The sequence below is a fragment of the Homo sapiens genome, chromosome 13, assembly GCF_000001405.40.
Source record: "Homo sapiens chromosome 13, GRCh38.p14 Primary Assembly".
Lineage (NCBI taxonomy): Eukaryota > Metazoa > Chordata > Mammalia > Primates > Hominidae > Homo > Homo sapiens.
In genome coordinates this window covers 32,347,550-32,369,678 of record NC_000013.11, presented here as the reverse complement: position 1 = coordinate 32,369,678, position 22,129 = coordinate 32,347,550, and the positions used below count along the sequence as shown (strand labels likewise).

The window sequence follows — 22,129 nt, the reverse complement described above, 5'->3', positions numbered from 1 at the left end:
CTGCTTGAACCTGGGAGGCAGAGGGTGCAGTGAGCCGAGATTGTGCCACTGCACTCCAGCCTGGGGGACAGAGCGTGCCTCCGTCTCCAAAAAACAAACAAACAAATTATCTTCACAATAATCTGAAGACTCATCTCCATTTTACAGACAACGATAAAACTAAAGTATATGAGAAACTACACAACTTGCCCAAGGTTATTCAGCCACCAAACTTGTTGTAAGGAGTTAACATGAAACAAAATAATTAAAGGAAAACACTCAGAAATTGGAGGCAACAGGTACCTGTGAAGGCAGGAGCATATGGTGGGGCTGAAAATAGGAAGAAATGGTTGACATTTTGTACAAACGTAGTTGAAACACCAGATTTTCTTTCCTATCCCAAGTAGCCAGGTGGCTGTCTCTCCCTCATACTAAAAAAGAACCCAGGACCCTATTCTTGCTGCAGCATTAAAAAAAAAAATGCAGGAGACTTTATTTTCTGGAGGGCTGAACCATACATATCGTGGACTCTGGAATACTGAGCAGACGCAGCCAGGGTGGGGGTGAGATGCTATTATTGAAAACAAAACTGGGCCGGGCGCTGTGGCTCACGCCTGTAATCCCAACACTTTGGGAGGCCGAGGCGGGTGGATCACAAGGTCAGGAGTTGGAGACCAGCCTGGCCAAGATGGTGAAACCCCGTCTCTACTAAAAATAAAAAATTAGCCAGGGGTGGTGGCAGGCGCCTGTAGTCCCAGCTACTCGGGAGGCTGAGGCAGGAGAATTCCTCGAACCTGGGAGGTGGAGGTTGCAGTGAGCCGAGATCGCACCACTGCACTCTAGCCTGGGCAACAGAGCAAGACTCCATCTAAAAAAAAAACAAAAAAAACCAAAAAAAAAACAAAAAAACAAAAAACAAACAACAAACAACAAACTGAAATAAAATTCTTACACTGACAATGAGTCTCCCTATTAATTTCCTTACTCTGCTCAGCTCTCAGAACAGTCACTGATATTTGAGGGTCTCCTAGTTAAAAACTAAATCACTACATTACTACCCTATGAGCTGACAAGCCTCACCTCACATACAACTTCTGGATCAGTGAATGATCACCATTGAGGAAAGTCTCTAACCAGAGAGACTCAAATAGACAAAGGTTTTCATTAAAAAAAAAAAATGCAGGGAGCAGAAAAAACGAAAATGAAAATAAAACATTAATCATTAGCTTTAGAAAGATGAGAAGATACTGTATCTATGAAACAAGAACTGAATGTCACAAAAAAAAGAAAAACATTTAGGGAATAATAAAGGTCTCTTGAAAATTATGTTGGTAGACACAAATTCACTTTAAGAACTAGAAGAAAAGGGCTGTAATCCTTTTCTGGATTTACAGGCTCAAGCCTGTAATCCCAGCACTTTGGGAGGCCAAGGCGGGCAGATCACGAGGTCAGGAGTTCAACACCAGCGTAGCCAACATAGTGAAGCCCTGTCTCTACTAAAAATACAAAAAAATTAGCCAGGTGTGGTGGTGGGTGCCTATAATCCCAGCTACTTAGGAGGCTGAGGCAGGAGAATCGCTTGAATCCAGGAGGCAGAGGTTGCAGTGAGCCAAGATCGTGCCACTGCACTCCAGCCTGGGCGACAGTGCGAGACTCCATCTCAAAAAAAAAAAAAAAAAAAAAAAAAAAAAAAAAAAAGAATTAGAAGAAAAGACAACCCTAATTTGAGGGTTGCGAAATGGTTATATTTTAATTCTATTATTCCTTATTTGTTGAAACATTTTTATAAACAGAAACTTCCCCTCATCTACTTGAGGGTCCCAAAATATAGATCATATAAGAGAAGAAAGATAAATGCTTGATTTTTTTCTCCTTTTACCTAGTTTTTGTTGTTTTTCTGAGGCTGGGTCTGGCTCTGGCTCTGTCACCCAGGCTGAAGTGCAGTAGCACGATCTCAACTCGCTGCAACCTCTGCCTCCTGGGCTCAGGTCATCCTCCCACCACGGCCTCTCAAGTAGCTGGGACTATAGGCACATGCCACCACACCTGGTTAATTTTTGTATTTTTTGTAGAGATGGGGTTTTGTCATGTTGCCCAGGCTGGTCTCATACTCCTGAGTATGCCCACCTCAGCCTCCCAAAGTACTGCAATTACACGCGTGAGACACTGTGCCTGGGCTTTAGTTTTTAAAACAATGAGAATAGAAGTTATCATTTGTTATGAATTTCAATTTTTTGCTGTTATTATCCTTTTTTTTTTCTTTGAGATGGAGTCTCGCTCTGTCACCCAGGCTAGAATGCAGTGGCACAATCTCGGCTCACTGCAACCTCCGCTTCCTGGGTTCAAGCAATTCTCCCTGCCTCAGCCTCCCAAATAGCTGGGATTACAGACACCCGCCCCCAGGCCTACCTAATTTTTGTATTTTTTAGTAGAGAAGGGGTTTCACCATGTTGGCCAGGCTGGTCTCAAACTCCTGACCCCAAGTGATCTGCCTGCCTCGGCCTCCCAAAATCTTGGGATTACAGGTGTGGGCCAGTGTGCCCAGCCTGTTATTATCCTTTCTGATGCTCAAATTATTTTATCTGTGATCAGTAAGAATCTATTCTATTACACTCCTAAGTCCTTTTGACATGACACTAGTAGTGTTTGATGCTTAGTTTTTTTCTGGTATGTCAAGACTTTCCAGATTCATATATTTCCTCCTCTGAATCTGGAATCAGCCATTTCTTCAAGACACCTTGCATCCTTTTAAGAGAAAACAGTACTTAGAAAACAGTCTGAGAGCTAGGGTTACTCACTACTACTGGATTATTCCTTTTTTTTTTTTTTTTGTTCTTTTTGATAGATGAAACCAATAAGCATATTTTTTTTTTTCTTTGAGACAGGGTCTCACTTTGTCGCCCAGGCTGGAGTGCAGTGGTGCGACCTTGGCTCACTGCAACCTCTACGTCCCAGGTTCAAGTGATTCTCCCACCTCAGCCTCCACAGTAGCTGGGACTACAGGAGCATGCCATCATGCCTGGCTAAGTTTTATATTTTTAGTAGAGACGGGGTTTCACCATGTTGGCCAGGCTGGTCTTGAACTCCTGACCTCAAGTGATCCATTCACCTTGGCCTCTCAAAGTGCTGGGATTATAGGTGTGAGCCACTGTGCCCAGCCAGCATGTATTTTTTAAAGATAATATAGATCTCGAGTTCATAATGATATTTCCAATACAAATGCAGAACCACAAGTTTTCTTTTACTTCAATCTCACATCTGCACCTTTCTCTGATAAAAAGATCCCTGTTCTCTATAATCATATAATTACTCACATACAACAAATATACGTAAAAGAGTATACACATACAACATACTTCACATCCACTATAACTTCAGAATAGGAATACCAACACTACCACCAGCAATATGATTACTAACAATAGCTTAAGATTTTGTTTCATTTTATAGTTGTTGTTGCTATTGTTGTTCTTGGGGTATATACCACTAGGGACATAAAACATTTTTTAAGTTACTTGAAATACTTTCTTGGTATGATTATGCTCTAATTGAAAACACACTTAAGTTCTTTGCTTTCATTTGACTTTCTAAATTTTTAGGAATTGCTTTTTTTGTATTTTGTTACAAAATTATGTAAAAATATTTAAAGACAAATCTATAAAACATGGCATATTAATAAAGAATTAGAAGAAAAAAATTAAAAACCATCCCAGAAGTTAGAATAAAAAAAGACAATCAAATAGAAAGTAGGAGAAAAGACAAGAAAATTATAGGAACAATATAGGAGGCCTAGTGTCCAAACATCAGGAGTTCCAGAAAAAACTAGAGAAAAAAATGGAGGGAAATTATAAAAGAACCACTTAAAGAAAATTTTCCAGAACTCAATGAAGGACTATGTGTTTCTAGAGTAAGTGCCAGTAAGCATCTGGGCCAAGAATTAAAGGAAAAAAAAAAGTTAAAAAAAAAAAAAAAAAAAAAGACACCAAAGTACATTACTGTGAAATTTAAATAACAACAAAACAGGCTGGGCGTGGTGGCTCATGCCCGTAATCCCAACACTTTGGGAGGCTGAGGCAGGTGGATCACCTGAGGTCAGGATGAGACCAGCCTGGCCAATATGGTGAAACCCTGTCTCTACTAAAAATACAAAATTTGGCTGGGTGTGGTGGCAGGTACCTGTAATCCCAGCTACTCGGGAGGCTGAGACAGGAGAATCACTTGAACCCGAGAGGCGGAGGTTGCAGTGAGCAGAGGTCACGCCATTGCACTCCAGCCTGGGCAACAAGAGCGAGACTTTGTCTCAAAAATAAATAAATAAATAAAAATAAAGACAAAACAATCTTAACTTCTTAAAACCAGAGCACATAATGAATGACTGAAGATAAAAACAGCACCGCAGGCCAGGTACAGTGGTTCATGTCTGTAATCCCAGCACTCTCGGAGGCTAAAGCGTGAGGACCGTTTGAGCCCAGAAGTTCAAGACCAGCCTAGGCAACACAGGGAGACCTCATCTGTACAAAATGAAACACTCCAGCCTATGTAACACAGTGAGACGTTGTCTCAAAAAAAAAAAAAAAAAAAAAAAAAAAAGAATGCACTGCAATTAGCAGGAGCTATGCTAAAGAAGATAAATGAAATGTCTTAAAAATTCTGAAGAAATTATTTCAACCTAGAATTCTATATCCAGCCAACCTTACCCTAAGATATCAAAAAGCTTGCATGCTCCTTTTCCCAACAAGCCTCTGAGAGTTGTGGGCCCTTAAAATTGGGGGAAAAACTCTAGAAAGATGACATGGAAACCAGGAAATGGGGTTTCTAACACAGAAAAGAGGTAAGAATAATTTACAGAATGAGAGCTGTATGGCACACATAGAAAATGAGCACTTCAGAATGGAGTAAGCATATGAAGAGGTCCAGGGGTTCTCCAAGAAACAGAAATGGAACCAATGGAGAAATTTTAACATATTGGGCAGGATTTTTATAGCTCCTGTGTAAGGACACAGAAAATTAAGAGAAATGAAAAGGACAGTTAATAACTTCATGGAAAGCAGTAAGCTGTAAAGAAAGGAAATGTGATCACAGTCGATTAGGTATTAAATTGCAAAAAATATTTTTCAGTCATTATAATGTATACACTGAATACAGATTTCACTAAAAATCATGCTGTATTAGTAGAGGGAAGATGGGGAAGAGGGTAGAGAAATATGTAGCAGTGTTGGAGTAAGACAATGAAATCCTCATTTTCCATAGCAGGAAGTTAACGGTTGCTGTCTAAACTGAAGAGAGAAAGAAGACAGCAGTACAAGCTAAAAAATAGTCAAACAGACTGGAAACGATTGCCTCTTGGGACCATGAATGAGGATGGGGAGGGTTGTGCTAGCAACTGCTTTTTTTTGGTTATATGTCTTATATTACTTGAGTTTCCAAATTATGCACATGCATTGATTTGATTTAAAAAAAAACAAAAACAAGAAAATGAAAGCCACTGCAAGCTTGATGTTCTAAGCAACATAAAACAAAAGACTGTTTCAGCTTGATGGAATGCTTTCAGTAAAAAGCAATCAATCCAACATGGAACTAATGCCAAACAAAATATATCTTTACCTTAAAAATGTTTAATTTATAAAACATTCTCTTTAGAGTGATCCAGAATACCACAGAAGTAAATTCTCTGCAAGGTTACCTCTTAAGTGAATCTGAATGTACAATATTATCGGTAATTTCAGATAGCAATACTGCAGACCATTCAATATGACAAAGAGTCCTGTTATGTAGTTTAAAATCTACATAGAGATAAAAAGTGTATCTATTACATATTTGAAAAGTACTAAAATGTAATTCTCTAATCCAGAGTGGAATAGGGATCTGATCAAAGCAAAGCTATGAGAACAAGAGGGCAGCAAGCTACAGATACCAAAATCAAATGGTGCAAATTTATTTTGCTTTTTAATTGGAAATGCATTATTTAAGCTCAAGAAAGATCTCTGGACCTCCCAAAAACTGCACAAAAACTTTAACTGTCTGAAGAATATGCTTTTTATACTAAAATTATCAGTACATCTAAGAAATTGAGCATCCTTAGTAAGCATTTAAAATTTAAATGTAAAACTTCTAGAATTTAACTGAATCAATGACTGATTTTTACCAAGAGTGCAAATTAATTTACCTTTAACATAAGAGATTCTGGGGCTTCAAGAGGTGTACAGGCATCAGGAGAGCCCACCAGTTCTGCTCCATGAAGAATAATCTTCTGACCAACTGTCAGTCTGCCATTCTTTAAGACAGCTAAGAGGGGAGGATCTAACTGGGCCTTAACAGCATACCACCCATCTGTAAGTTCAATAATGGCCACTTTTTGGGTATCTGCACTACTAGTTTTATTGCTAGAAGTTTCAGATATATTTGCGCTCAATGAAATTATGTCAGAAACACAGAGAACAAGTGTTTTTGCAGCTGTGTCATCCCTTTCCATTATCTTTTTTATAGCCGATCTTCTGCTTCTATCAATTTCCGTATCATATCTAAAAGTGAAAACAAAAATGCATATTTTAGGAAGTGTGACTCTAGAATTCCACTGTTTAAACAAGTCACTGAATAACTGAGAATAAAAACTGAATTTATCTAAGAAATACTGAGAATTAAAAATTTTGTAGCTAGGAATATATTGTTTCATATTGTTAAAATATCAATTATTTTTAAAAAGCAAAAAATAAAATGCAAAAATGCTTTATTAGCAATCCCCAAATAGTGGATCAAATTAGTAACTCATATTCTTCTCATACATCAAGAGGTTAAGGAGGGGGTGGGGAAAGAGGGAAGCAAGCAATGCATGAATGTGTGATCTCTCTTAAATGGGGGCTAGGGATGACAGGAGAACAGCAGTGTGGGATGGCAACTGTCACTGACAACTGGCTTGTGCAACATTTTGACATGGAAGTCACAGACTACACAGAAACCTTAACCATACTGCCGTATATGATTACGTAATGTAATGCTTTAAACTTGCCTGTATTTTAGTTGAAGAAGCACCCTTTCTGGGCTTAGGCATCTATTAGCAAATTCCTTAGGAAAGGCACATTCCATAGCTGCCAGTTTCCATATGATCCATCTATAGTGATTATAAACCCAAATTCTAGAAATAAGCTTTGGATCCACACCTGGAGTGTCACACAGAGCCCTGAACAAATAAAAGTAGAATATTATCATAAAAACCACATAGGATGATACTGAATTCAACAACTACAACTATTCTCTGTACAAAAACTACATTGTTCAAGATCATTAAGTTTTTATGAGTTCATATGATCTACAATATAATTTCAGAAAATTATTTGACATGTATCAAAGTATCATACTGATAAAAACTTCATTGCTGAGCATGGTGGCTCATGCCTATACTCCCAGCATTTTGGGAAGCTGAGGCAGGAGGATTGCTTGAGGCCAGAAGTTTGAGACCAGCCTAGGCAACATAGTGAGACCCCCACATCTCTACAAAAAATAATAAAAAAAATCAGCCAAGAGTGGTAGCTCACATCTGTGGTCCCAGCTACTTAGGAGGCTGTGGTGGGAGGATTGCTTGAGCCCAGGAGGTTGAGGCTGCAGTGAGCCATGATAGTGCCACTGCACTCCAGCCTGGACAAGAGTGAGACCCTATCTCAAAATATAAAAACAAAACAAAAAATTCCACTTAACAGTCAACAGAATGATTTCAACTCATATTTGTTCCTGAAAAATGAGATCCTTGATTTTAAATAATTATATTTTAGATTATTTTTCTTATGAAAGAGATTTTTTTAGAAATCACGCCTGAGAACTGCCTTTCTTAGTCTTGGTGCTCTCTTTGATCCTGTCCCCTCTGTTCTCAAATCTCTAACTCCTCCTTTCTCATTCATACTCTTAGCACTAAGACAACAGAAGTAATCAAAAGAGAACTTCCATAAGCTCCCACCCTCATATCTATCCACTCACAGCATCTGTATCCCTACACTTTGCCCTCTTCCAAGCATCTGCATCCTTACACTTTGCCCTCTTCTACCATTTGTGCACTAGCTCCTACCCCTTGCTGCCTACAAGGCCAACGATCAGGAAATGCCTCCTCTCTCTCCTGCATCATCAATTTTTTCCCTCTCTACTGAACAATGTGAATCAGCATAAGAAACGGTTTTTTTCTACCTTAAAACAAGCCAAAACTAAGACTCTTTGATCCTACTTCCTCTCCAAGCAATGTCCCTCTCTCTGCTTCTTTTTGGCAACTCCCAAAAGAATCGACTGTATTCTGTGTCTCCAATTCCTCCTCTTCAACTGCTCTTTAATTGCATTCTAATCAGGATATCACTCCACCAATCTATTGAGCTATTTTTAATAACATTAGTAATGTCTTCTGCAGTGCTAAATCCAGCGGCCAATCTCAGTCCTCATCTTACTTTACCTATTAGAAGCAGCTTCCACAGCTGGTCATTTTCTATTCCCTAAAATTCCATCTTCATTTGGAATGCAACACCCCATTCTGCATTTATTCCTAACTTTCTGGCTGCTCTTTCTCAGTCTCTTTTTCATGGCCTTCAAGTCCATCTATATGCCGATGACTTGTGAATTGATTTATTTGGCCTATACTTTACCTGTGTATAGACTTCCATATCCAACTGCCTACCTAACATCTCCACTTGGCTGTCTACTATTACATCTCAAGCTTCAAATGTCCAAAACCAAACTCTCCATTTCCCTCCATCTTTGGTCTTCTCAATTCTAGTAGTTACATACAACTCTATCCTTCCAGCTGCTAAGGCCAAAATCTTCACAGCCATTCTTATTCTCCTCCTCTCTCACGTTTTATATCTAATCCTTGAGCAACTCCTAATAGTGCCACTTTCAAAATACCCCAGAGTCCAACTGCTTTCCACCAATTCCACTGCCACTTCCCTGGTCCAACCAACCACCTCTCACATGTATTTCTGCAATAGCTTAAGTGGTCTCTGTGTGTCCATCTTTGCCCCTCTCCTCAACAAACAGCCAGAATTATTTTTTCAAAAATAAGTCAGATCAGGCTGGACACAGTGGCTCACACCTGTAATTCCAGCACTTTGGGAGGCCGAGGAGGGTGGATCCTGAGGTCAGGAGTTTGAGACCAACCTGGCCAACATGGTGAAACCCTGTCTCTACTAAAAACACAAAAATCAGCCGGGCACGGTGGTGCGCGCCTGTAGTCCCAGCTACACGGGAGGCTGAGGCAGGAGAATCGCTTGAACCTGGGAGGTGGAGGCTGCAGTGAGCCGAGATTGCACCACTGCACTCCAGCCTGAGCAATAGAGTGAGACTGTCTCAAAAAAAAGTCAGATCATGTTACCCTTTAAGCCTTCCAGTGGTTTATTCAGTAAAAATCGTGCAGAGTAAAAGGTAAGGGTCTTACGAAGGTCTATGAGGTCTTCCTTTTGTATCTCATCTACTACTACTCTTCTCCTGCCCACTCTACTCCAGTTGCACTAACTTCCTGTTCCTCAAATACTTCAAGCATGCTCCCCTCTTAGAGGCTGGGGGTCTTTTGCTAGGATAGTCCTATGCTCCCTCCTTTTACTTTAGGTCATTTATCAAATGTAGCTGACTCAGTGAAGCCTTCCTAACTACTTATTAGATTAAAAATCGCATCTCCTTGCCCAACTTTCTCTGCCACCTTTCCAACTTTATCTATCTTTATAGTATGTATCTTCTTCTAACATACTACACAATTCACTTATATTTCAATATTTTCTATGCCTTCCACATAGAATGTATGACTCATCAGGGCAGGGACTTTTTTGTTTTCCTTTATTATCCCTAGTACCCAGAATAGTACCTGGCACATAGCAAGTGCTCAATAGAGATTTGCTGAATTATCAGAAAAAACTAACGAAAGCCTCCACATTTCCACTTAGACTACAGGGCAATCATTCTTAACTTCTACCTTATGCAGTCTATTTAGTACGAGAAAATAATACAACCGTTTAACCAACTTTTCTTACTGGAATCTATAAGCAGATGTTTGTTATATAAGATACGCAAGATGTAAACAATATTTCTGTTTTTAAAAGTTAAAACAAAATTCAGGAAAAAAAGTTTTATCACTTTTCCAAAGCTATAAATTTTGGAAAGATGTACAGAAATTTAAAGATAAGGATGCTGAGGAAATAAATCCCATCTTTTGCCACTGGCATAATGTAATATATCTCTGATAACAAAAAGCTTTAAATTATGTTTCTGTAAAAACTACAATAAAAAGAGGTTATATAGTTTCTAAATTGTTGCTGTTTTAGAGCTCTGAGATTTTCTAGTTATTTGGCATTATTGATATTCAAATATTTCTGTTTAACTTTTAGTGTTTATTTATATTTTGTATCCATTAAAATATATAATGAAAGAAAACATGAAGTAAGTGTGTGTCGGGGGAGGAATCTACCATAAGGCCATTTCAAATTTAACTTTCTTTTTTTTTTTTTTTTTTTTTCTTGAGATGGAGTCTCACTGTTGCCCAGGCTGCAGTGCAGTGGTGCAATTTTGGCTCACTGCAACCTCCGCCTCCCGGGTTCAAACGATTTTCCTGCCTCGGCCTCCCAAGTAAGTGGGATTGCAGGCGCGTGCCACCACGTCCAGCTAATTTTTGTATTTTTAGTAGAGATGGGGTTTTGCCATGTTGGCCAGGCTGGTTTCAAATTCCTGACCTCAGGTGATCTGCCCACCTCAACCTCCCAAAGTGCTGGGATTATAGGTGTGAGCCACCGCACCTGGCCTTTTTTGAAATAGGGTCTTGCTCTGTTGCCCAGGCTGGAGTGCAGTGGCGTGATCTTGGCTCACTGCAACCTCCACCTACTGGGCTCAAATGATTCTCCTGCCTCAGCCTCCCGAGTAGCTGGGATTACGGGCATGCATCACCATACCTGGCTAATTTTTGTATTTTTAGTAGAGCTGGGGTTTCACCATGTTGGCCAGGCTGGTCTCGAACTCCTGACCCTCAGGTAATTGGCCCATCTTGGCCTTCCGAAGTGTTGGGACTACAGGCGTGAGCCACCGCGCCTGGCTGGGCTAATTTTTTAATTTGTTTGTAGAGATGGGTTTTCACCATGTTGCCCAGGCTGGTCTCAAACTCCTGTGCTCAAGAGATCTGCCCACCTCAGCCTCCCAAAGTGCTGGGATTACAGGCATGAGCCACCATGTCTGGCCCTCAAATTTAACTTTTTTCTTTTTTTTTTTTTTGAGATGGAGTCTCACTCTTATCGCCCAGCCTGGAGTGCAGTGGCTCAATCTTGGCTCACTGCAACCTCTGCCTCCCAGGTTCAAGCGATTCTCCTGCCTCAGCCTCCAGAGTAGCCGGGATTACAGGTGCCTGCCACCACGCCCAGATAGTTCTTGTACTTTTAGTAGAGATGGGGTTTCGCCACGTTGGCCAGGCTGGTCTCGAACTCCTGACCTCAGGTGATCTACCCGCCTCGGCCTCCCAAAGTGCTGGGATTACAGGCATGAGCCACTGTACCCGGCCAAATTTAACTTTATAAATTGGGCTATATTTATAAATGCCTAAGAAAAATGTCCCAAATCAAGAAAATCCAGTTCATTAAACCCCAGGACAAACAGCACTTTTCAAAAGACTTCTACAGAATGCTTAACCATAATGCACTTAAAACAATTAAATGCATAAAAATTTGATTTCTAGCCAACTTTTTAGTTCGAGAGACAGTTAAGAGAAGAAAGAGGGATGAGGGAATACATAAAAGTTAACACACAATCTTTTTGCATAGAGTACCTATAAAATTCTTCTTTTCCAGCCTTTCCATCATTGGAGGGTATGAGCCATCCACCATCAGCCAACTGTATTCCTTTTCCAGTCCATAAACTTTCCTTACCAAAATAATCTTCAGTGTGAAACTGAAAAGACTCTGCATTTTTGCTGTTAATTTTTATGCAATGTTTAGAAACGCCATACGTATACAGCTACACAAAATAAACACACACAAAAAAGAAAAACAATTTAAAGTAAACATGTATCACACAATAAAAACAATTATAACAAACCAAAACTGAATTTACCAAAAATTTTCATTAACTACTAGAATCTTCACTACAAAAACATTTAAGTTATTTACTAGAAACTAAAAATTTTAATGTAATATAAATGATCCATACATTCCACAGTCTGCTGTACCTTTTCCACCCCGTTTATACGCCTCCTGCTAAATCTGCCATAGGAAGGTACTGTGAGGATAAAAAAATGTGATGTTTTACAAAATCTCTTAAGTTCAAAAACTTAGATGGGAAACAAAAGGGAGAAGTTTAAGTATTTTAGGGAATGTGACCTCAGGTGGTCAGATCTGTACACAGGCTTGGCTTACTTTCAAAGTGCTTGCTTTCACCCCAGGATATCTAACCCAAAGTGTCTTTTTGTTTGTTCAGAGTTTGACTCTGGAGTCAGACTCTTTGCTTTGGAATCATAGCACTTCCACTTACTAGTTAAGTGACTTTGGGGCAGTTACTTAACCCTCTCTATGCTTCAGTTCTCTCATTTGCAAAATGGAAACAAAGTAACAGTGCCTTTCTTTCAAGGTGACTGTGAGGATTAAGCAAGATATACCTAATGCATGTGAAGTGCTTAGAAGAGCATCTTACACCTAGAAAATGCTCAAAGTTAGCTATTAATGTCATCAATATTATTTTCACCTCTCCATTGCCTAAAATTCTACCTAGATAATATTGGCTTAAGGAGAATCCTCTTTGGAAAATATAAATAGCTCATAGAAGGTTCAGGGCTATCAGTTATTCACATTTGAATATCAGTAAGACTACTTTAACACCTAGCTGAGAGCATTTACAATGACAAAATAAGAAAGATTTGAAGGGGGAAAAGAAGTAGTAATTTGGAAGCACAGATCACTTTAGCAGGATGAGGCAGGCCTAGCAAGGGGCCAGAGGCTGCCACTGCAGGCTAATTAGAAAATATGATGATTTCATTCATCCATTCCTGCACTAATGTGTTCATTCTTTAAACAAAGCCATTTGTAGATACTAGTTAATGAAATAAAATTACACTCTGTCATAAAAGCCATCAGTATTGTAGACAAACACATACCTGTTTATGAGAACACGCAGAGGGAACTTGGCCTCCTACTGCTGCTTTCAGAGAGATTCGAGGCAGAGTGGATGTTTTTGCAAGATACAGACTGCCTGGCTGTGGAAAGACGCGTTGCCTTTGTTTCTTCTTAATTCGCATATCCTGTATATCTCTGGCATTCTGAAGACTTGTAATTAAATCTATCAAAGAATAAATACTTAGCAAAAATAAAATTGAAATTTAAAAAGCACAACCCCTGGCCAGGCACAGTGGCTCACGCCTGTAATCCCAGCACTTTGGGAGGCTGAGGCGGGCAGATCATCTGAGGTCGGGAGTTCAAGACCAGCCTGACCAAAATGGAGAAACCCTGTCTCTACTAAACAAAAAAAAAATATATAAAAGTAAAAAAAACACAAAAGTAGCCAGGTGTGGTGGCACATGCCTGTAATCCCAGCTATTCAGCAGGCTGAGGCAGGAGAATCACTTGAACTCGGGAGGAGGAGGTTGCGGTGAGCCGAGGTTGCACCATTGCACTCCAGCCTGGGCAACAAGAGCGAAACTCTGTCTCAAAAAAAAAAAAGCGCAAGCCCTGTTTTATAAAATTATACATATCAATTTCCTCGAAGTTTACATGCTCTCCTTTTCTCTAAAAAGGGTACCCCTTTTAATTCTTCATAAATGAAAGGATGTTTCAACTTGTAAAGCTGTATAAATATGAATATCTTTACTATTTTTATCTCTTTTTGAGACAGAGTTTTTCACTCTTGTTGCCCAGGCTGGAGTGCAATGGCGCGATCTCGGCTCACTGCAACCTCTGCCTCCCGGGTTCAAACGATTCTCCTGCCTCAGCCTCCCAAGCAGCTGGGATTACAGGTGCCTGCCACCACGCTCAGCTATTTATTTATTTATTTATTTATTTTGTATTTTTAGTAGAGACAGGGTTTCACTATGTTGGCCAGGCTGGTCTTGAACTCCTGACCTCAGGTGATCCGCCCGCCTTAGTCTCCCAAAGTTCTGGGATTACAGGCATGAGCCACCACGCCCGGCCCTATTTTTATCACATTTTAAAAAGAAAATTAGTAGCATGATAGAAAATATATTCCAGTAACAGCAGTCCTAGATTGTGTGTCTAATTTTTTTTAACAAGTCCACAAGAAGTTATCTTTGAAAGAAACATTAGAATAATTTAAACCTAATCTTTGGATTTAGAAAATCTAAAACATTAAAAAGGGCTTTAAAATTACCACCACCAAAGGGGGAAAACCATCAGGACATTATTTAACAACGGAAATATCTAACTGAAAGGCAAAAATTCATCACACAAATTGTCATACAATACCTAAAGGTTCTTCTTCACACTTTGTGAAAGTTACAGCTACTGCTTGATTGGAGTTGTTTTTGTTAAACTGATGAATCTCATTGTCATTAATCTTATTTTTACTATCATCAGAGCCATGTCCATCAATGTTTTGCTTTTGTCTGTTTTCCTCCAAGTTAATATTCCTAACACACTGTTCAACTCTGTGAAAATGTGATTTAGTTTTAAAAGGTGGAACAAAGACTTTGGTTGGTCTGCCTGTAGTAATCAAGTGTCTCATTTTTTCATTTCTTGTAGCAGAAACTTGATAAAATGGATGTCCTGAAACTGCTAAATTGCTTGAAGATTTTTCCAAAGTCAGATGTTCATACAAATGAGATTTAGACAGAAATTCTTGACCAGGTGCGGTAAAATTTGGATTCTGTATCTCTTGACGTTCCTTAGTTGTGCTGCAATGGGGAGAAAATATATAAGTTTATTGACTAGTACACATATAAATATTTAGGAATATGCCTTTGTTGCAGACCCTCATTTGCTACATGGTGATACTATTCTGGTAACTGTTTTGTATTCACCATGGTTGCCATTCCAAAACAATATCACATTTTTCAAGGCTAGCCTTTGACTTTACAATCTACCTCACATAACACATAATAGAAGAGAGTCTGTCAAGTGTGGACCCTCTCAGTGTGTCCCCTCTAATTCCATCATAGTACTCCTTACCTCCTTCACCAGGGAAATGTCTACCCATCCTCTTCTCTCACCTTCACATCTTCACCTGAACTCTCTACTCCGCCTAATACCTCAGTCTCCACAGGAGATCCCCTCTTTCAATTATCCCACCTCGCTCCCTTTTCTCTCTTCTACCTATTTATACCTTTTTTAAAGTGCCCTTTTTATTTAGCCCAAAAATCTTGCCTACCTTTGAAACTCTTATTTTCTCACTCACCTTTATCTCTGCCTCAAGCTAATACTCACTGTTACACTCCACAGTCAACCTTCTTCAATAGGTAATGTAGCTATTTTCACTTCCTCAATCTCTACTCAATAAACTCTCATTTCTCCCACTACTCTACAGAAACTGTTCTCAATAAAGTTGTTAATGACCTCCCAGATGCATGTGGGATGCACGCAAACTCATTCTACTCAACTTTCCTAATAGCTATGACAGTTTACATTTTCCTTCTTTTAAAATTCTCACCATCACTGTACCTCTTTCATCTTTTACTGGTTTTACCTCTTCCTGATTCCTCAAAAAAAGTCTCCAAAACTGGATGTCTTCCTTAGACACTTTCCCTTGCTAATGTGAGTCATTTCCATTGCTTAAATTATCACCTAACAATGAAAATATCCTTTATCCTCATGCCCGATTTTTCTCCTAGGGTTGTTCCTACATTTTACACTACATATAGCATCAGACATCTGTACCTTGATGTTTCACACTCATTTCAAACTCAACATGTCCAAAAGTGATCATCTTTCTCAGCATACGTGGTCTTCCTAATACTTGATATCTTGTTGAAAACCCCAGATTTCCTTTTACCAAACCCTGGATACCTGGAACTTGAAGTTGTTCCTTTAGTTATCCGTTCGCCCATCCATCAACTATTTAATGAATTCCTACCAGGTGCCAGACATTGTTTTGCTGGGGAACACGGTAACAAAATTTTGTTTTTGCATGTATATTTCAGTGGAAGGAAACAGACAAACAAATATGTCGATTGGCCTAGACACAAGTGTGCCTGGAGCAAGGAGAGCAAGGGGAACATTAGAAGGTCAGACTGGAAAAATAGCAAAGCAGCCAGATCATGAAGAATCTGTACACCATGACAAGGGCTTTTAGTCTCTACTCTGAGATGGCACACCACGGAATAGTTCTGAGTAAAGAAATGACATAATCTGTCTTATGTTTAAAAGGATCCCCCGGCTTCTTTGTTGAGAATTCACTGTGTATTGAGGAGTAGGGAGGTAAGCAGGGGGACCAGTTCTACTGAAAGGACTGACTAGACTGGGTTCAGGAGAGTACTCAAAGAGATAAGTGAAAAGAGGAGGGACAATTCTAATGAGTTGGGCTTTAAGAGAAGAAAATGGACTGTTGAGATTACTTAAGAAAGGCTGTTCTTTTTAAGATGAGAGATGTACAACAACTGCTTAGGGTGATGAGAACAATCTATTAGGAAAAAAATCCATGCAGGAGAGAGACAAGATAATTGCTGGAATGATTTCTTCAAACAGGTGATCTAGATGAGATCTAATGCACAAGAATGAATAAACCTTCTGTCCCCAAACTTCTATTGATTGATCTTTTAATCCTTTCTTTTTAAATATTCAGAATATTTTTAGTATAAGGAGTTTGCCTTGTAGGTTATGCTCAAGATATCTATTTAAATCTAAGTGGAAATAATTTGCCAGTCTCAACTTATCACTATCTGGCCAAATCTACTGAATTTCTATCTCAATCATTCTCTACCCTCTACCTCCTCTGCTAGGTTAAGACCTGTATTTACTAATCTCCTTGCAACAGTTTTGCTTTGGTATACTTCTAAAACACCAATCTTATTTTGTTCCTCTTGTTAGAAACTTCCAAAGACAGCCTATCACCTACCTAGGTTTCAACTTATCAGAAATGACATACAGGAAGCTTCCTATTTGGTCCTAACCTCCCCATTTCTTTTTGTTTCCCTCTGTCCCCCAACCAAATTCCAAGATTTGGAATGCCATCTTTAACCAAGCATTCTTTACATTCTGTCTGAAGTACTTTTCCCATTGAGCAGTCATGTGATTAGCTGATAATTTTTCTATGTTCTTAGATCACTTTTTACATCTATTCTAGAATTTATATTACATTATAATTCTTGTTTTCATGTCTGGTTCCCAGGCTAGCAATCTGAGTTAGACTTATTTATCCTTATATCTTTCACTATAGTATATATTAGGTAGTTTGAGCAGGTACTTTAACAAATGTTTGTTTGTTAAATACATTAAACTATTCTCCCATTTTACACATAAATTAAGGTAATACACGGGTAAATACGTATTTCCTTTCTTATTTAATACAACTGTTTTTGATAAAAAAAAAAGAAATGAAAAAAAAATCACCTGGCTTTCTACATATGTGTATGTGCAGCCTGCTAAAAAACACATTCCAGAAATACAACTCAGTGACTTCAACAATTCCACAATCAGGTGTTTTTGAAAAGGTAACATTAGGCCTGGTACAGTGGCTCACGTCTGTAATCCCAGCACCTTGGGAGGCCAAGGTGGGCGGATCACGAGGTCAGGAGATCCAGACCATCCTGGCTAACACGGTGAAACCCCTTCTCTAGTAAAAATACAAAAAATTAGCCGGGCATGGTGGCACGCGCCTGTAATCCCGGCTACTTGGGAGGCTGAAGCAGGAGAGTCGCTTGAACCTAGGAGGCAGAGGTTGCAGTGAGCCAAGATCGTGCCACTGTACTCCAGCCTGGGCGACAGAGTGAGACTCTGTATCAAAATAAATAAATAAATAAATAAAATAAAATAAAATGTAACATTAAAATAATTTCAATGATATTTTTAGGCTTAAAAATTTATCAGCTAGAAAAGATTTTGCAACTACTTTAAACAGTTTTAGATGATTTTATCATATTTATATGTCTAAGTGACATGTTTCTTCTTGACTTTTTCTCTTGAAGTACCCCTACAGAAAATGAAAATTCAGCTCTGTCAACACAGCTTCTACCTTACTACACACACACTCTTGCCTTTCATCTTCCTAAATTACGTATTTAATTCTACTGTGTCCGGAATTGGTTCCTTCTGGTGGGTTCTTGGTCTTGCTGACTTCAAGAATGAAGCTGTGGACCCTCATGGTGTTACAGTTCTTAAAGATAGTGTGTCCCGAGTTTGTTCTTCCTGATGTTCAGATGTGTCCAGAGTTTCTTCTTTCTGGTGGGTTTGTGGTCTTGCTGACTTCAGGAGTGAAGCCGCAGACCTTCCCAGTGAGTGTTACAGCTCTCAAAGATGGCACGTACAGGGTTGTTTCTTCTTCCTGGTGGGTTCGTGGTCTTGCTGACTTCAGGAGTGAAGCCGCAGACCTTCGTGGTGAGTGTTACAGCTCATAAAGGTAGTGCTCACTAAAGAGTGAGCAGCAGCAAGATTCATTGCAAAGAGTGAAAAAACAAAGATTCCATGGCATGGAAGTGGAGCCGAGCGGCTGCTGGGGCTGGCTCAGGTGGCCAGCTTTTATTCCCTTATTTGGCCCCGCCCACGTCCTGCTGATTGGTCTATTTTACAGAGTGCTGATTGGTGCATTTACAAACCTTTAGCTAGACACAGAGTGCTGACCGGTGCGTTTACAAACCTTTAGCTAGACACAGAGCGCTGATTGGTGTGTTTACAATCCTTTAGCCGGACAGAAAAGTTCTCCAAGTCCCCACACGACCCAGAAGCCCAGCCAGCTTCACCTCTCACTATCAATGTTCAACATTTACATTACGGCTAAGTCAGTATAAAGTATATGTAGTATTAATAGGCAGTATATTTTATTTTATTTTTTTATTTTGTTGTTTTTTTTTTGAGACGGAGTCTCGCTCTCTCGCCCAGGCTGGAGTGCAGTGGTGCAATCTCGGCTCACTGAAAGCTCCGCCTCCTGGGTTGATGCCATTCTCCTGCCTCAGCCTCCCAAGTAGCTGGGACTACAGGCGCCCACCACTACGTCTGGCTAATTTTGTTTTGTTATTTTTAGTAGAGATGGGGTTTCACCATGTTAGCCAGGATGGTCTCGATCTCCTGACCTTGTGATCCACCCGCCTCGGCCTCCCAAAGTGCTGGGATTACAGGCGTGAACCACCACACCCGGCCATTAATGGGTAGTATATAAATAGTGTACTTCCTTTACAACTTTTGCTTTCTCTTGAGTTAATTTTTAAAATCTGCTTATTTTCTATGTACTTACTGTTTATTCACATCTAAACTCTTAGCTATATATATAAACCTCTTTTCATTCTGTTCACAAATTATAGTTTTTAAAAAAACATTTTTTCTTCTCCTTGAATAATGTTTCTTCTAAGTTGTTTTCATTAATGTGTTTTTTGGTTATTTTATTTTTGCTTTTTCTGATGTCTCATAATCTTTGGATGTCTGTTTATAGTTAAGAGTGAGGGACCAAAAGGCTGTTTTGAAGCACTTGGTACAAAGATAGAACTTGTTGACTGCAAGCTACACAGTAGCTTGATTAAATGGAAACTTCCACTAGTGAAAACTTAGCTGTCTATGTTCTGGAAGCTGAGTGGTGGAAAAGGGCTTGGTGAGGGGAGATCCCAACATTCAATATGCATATATTAACTTCTTCTTGCTTTCAAGTAGTTGCTTCTGCCTTCAACTGTGCCTAGTGTGTTCACCTTCTACTGTATCCTCTCTGGAGAATAAGCCTCTGGTTCTTTTCATAGAGCGGGCAGGAGACAGTTGCCCAGCTTCATGAGTATTGCTGCTGCTGCTTTTTTTTTTTTTTTTTTGATGTGGGGTCTTGCTCTGTCGTCCAGGCTGGAGTGCAGTGGCGCAATCTTGGCTCACTGCAGCCTCCACCTCCTGGGTTCAAGCAGTTCTCCCACCTCAGCCTCCTGAGTAGCTGGATTACAGGGGCATGCTACCATGCCGAGCTAATTTTTGCATTTTTAACAGAGATGGGGTTTCACCATGTTAGCCAGGCTGGTCTCGAATTCCTGACCTCAGGTGATTCACCCGCCTCAGCCTCCATGTGAGCCACCGTACCCGGCGAGTATTGCTTCTTAAACATAATTTCAACTTATTCCATTTTGGCTCCCTCCTTCTGCACCACCCAATTCTAAAGATAAGAAATGAAGCCACCAATTCCTAGTCTTTTGAGACCTGAGTGTAAAATCGTTGGTTCTCTGCTGTCCCCACCACCAGCTTTCATTCAGTTTCCTTCTGCATGCTTTGAGAAATTTAGTTACTTTGTTATTTCCTATTTTCCTTGTTTTTTTTTTGTGTGTGTGTAAGTTTCTTCAATGATGTTTTGGTAAAAGTTTGGAAGGCAAAGAAAGGATATGAGTATGTTCAATTCACCATCTTTTTTTTTTTTTTTTTTTTTTTGAGACAGAGTCTCACTCTGTCACCCAGGCTGAAGTGCAGTGGTGCAATTTTACCACAACCTCCACCTCAAAGGTTCAAGCGGTTCTTGTGCCTCAGCCTCTGGAGTAGCTGGGATTACAGGCGTGTGCCACCACGCCTGGCTAATTTTTGTATTTTCAGTAGAGATGGGATTTTACCATGTTGGCCAGGCTAGTCTCGAACTCCTGGCCTCAAGTGATCTACCCACCTCAGCCTCCCAATGTGCTGGATTACAGGTGTAAGCCACTGTGCCTGGCCTCAATTCACCATCTTTACTAAGAAGTTTCCTAATACATTAAAACATGCAGGTACTGCTTTATTTTTATCTTGAAGGCAAACTCTTCCAAAGTCTCTTATCTTCTTCAGTTCCAAAGTAGTCTAGCTGCCTTTCTAGACTTAGCAACACAGCTACTCTGGGATCTCCCTTCAATATCATCCTGAAAGCTCCCTTTGCCTCTCTTCTATGTTGAATTCTTATTTCTTAAGTCCTATACCTTCCTCCTTCTTGGTGTATGCATTTGTTTTGGTTAGTTTCCTGAGAAAAGCGCACAAGAGATCTTTTAGTACTTCACATCTGAAAAATGTCTACCCTCACACTTAATTCAGATTCTAGGTTGGAAATCATTTTCTCTCAGTATTTTGAAGGCACTTCTCTGTATTATATAAGATCTACAGTCTTCTAGATTCCATTGTTGATAATAAGAGAATTCATACTATTATGGCTTGAAACAATTTGAAACCTAACTTCTTGGTCCTCTAATGAATTTAAGGTTCCTGTCTGCCTCTATTATTCTAAAAATTCACAAGGATGTGCCTTACTGTGGGTCATTTTTACTTGTGTGCTCACTCAGTGGGCCCTTTTAATTAAGGAAACTCATGTCCTTCAGTACTAGTAGAACTTTTAAAATTATGTATTTATTTTAAAATTTCTTTCTTCATTTCTCTTCTGTGCCTTCCTTCTCAAACTCTGTATTTTCAGATGATAGATCCACAGAATTGACTTTTCATACCTTTTTTCATTTTATTCTGTATTCTGGGAACTTTCATGATTCTTCCATTATTTCTACTGAGTTAATTTATTTGTGCTATCATATTTTTAATTTCTAAGAGCTTTTTATAGCAACTTGTTCTTATTTTACGGCCATTTTTTCTTTTCTTACCTGAGAATATTAGTAGGTTTTTATGAAGTTTTCATAGTCGATTTCCTCTAGGTTCCTTTCTGCTATGGATTTTGTACTTTGGTGACTATGTTTCATAGTAGCTTTCTTCCAATGACTAGTTATCTTTGACTATCTTTTCTTATTTAAAAGTGAAGCACTAAGTAGCTTCCTGGAAGCTCTGTGCATGTCAACAGTTAACTTCCTGGTCTGGTGACTGGCTATACTGTTTCATCTGAGTATCCTCAACTGTCAGTATTTTTTGGTCTTTTCTATTGGGTCAGGCATATTCCCTAGGAAAAAAAAATCTTCCAGTCTCATGCCTAGAGGGCCTGCATTTGGGAACCAAGTGTGGGAAGGAGCTAGGTCTCACTGCTTGACATACAGATTTGTATCTGATCTTTCATTTTAGTATCTTTCCCTCAATTGTGCCTGGTGTCCCCTCCCTCCAGCCCACCTTCAATTCAGAATCCTCTCAATTCATCTTTTTCA

At 39.5% G+C, this 22,129-nt stretch overlaps 1 protein-coding gene across 7 annotated transcripts in view; it reads right to left on the bottom strand.

The window, feature by feature from the left end:
* The window catches only part of BRCA2 (BRCA2 DNA repair associated), an 85,192-nt gene that overhangs the window by 30,590 nt on the left and 32,473 nt on the right, over window positions 1-22,129 (bottom strand). For all 7 annotated transcript variants that reach the window (NR_176251.1, NM_001432077.1, NM_000059.4 and 4 more), the window contains 5 exons: window positions 14,391-14,818; window positions 13,070-13,251; window positions 11,750-11,937; window positions 6,986-7,156; window positions 6,146-6,500 (listed from right to left, as the gene is read on the bottom strand). Coding sequence is in view for 6 of the 7 variants with exons in the window: in NM_001432077.1 (NP_001419006.1) it covers window positions 6,146-6,500; window positions 6,986-7,156; window positions 11,750-11,937; window positions 13,070-13,251; window positions 14,391-14,818 (1,324 nt within the window). In the remaining variant the exon portion in view is untranslated. The remainder of the gene's footprint in view (window positions 1-6,145; window positions 6,501-6,985; window positions 7,157-11,749; window positions 11,938-13,069; window positions 13,252-14,390; window positions 14,819-22,129) is intronic.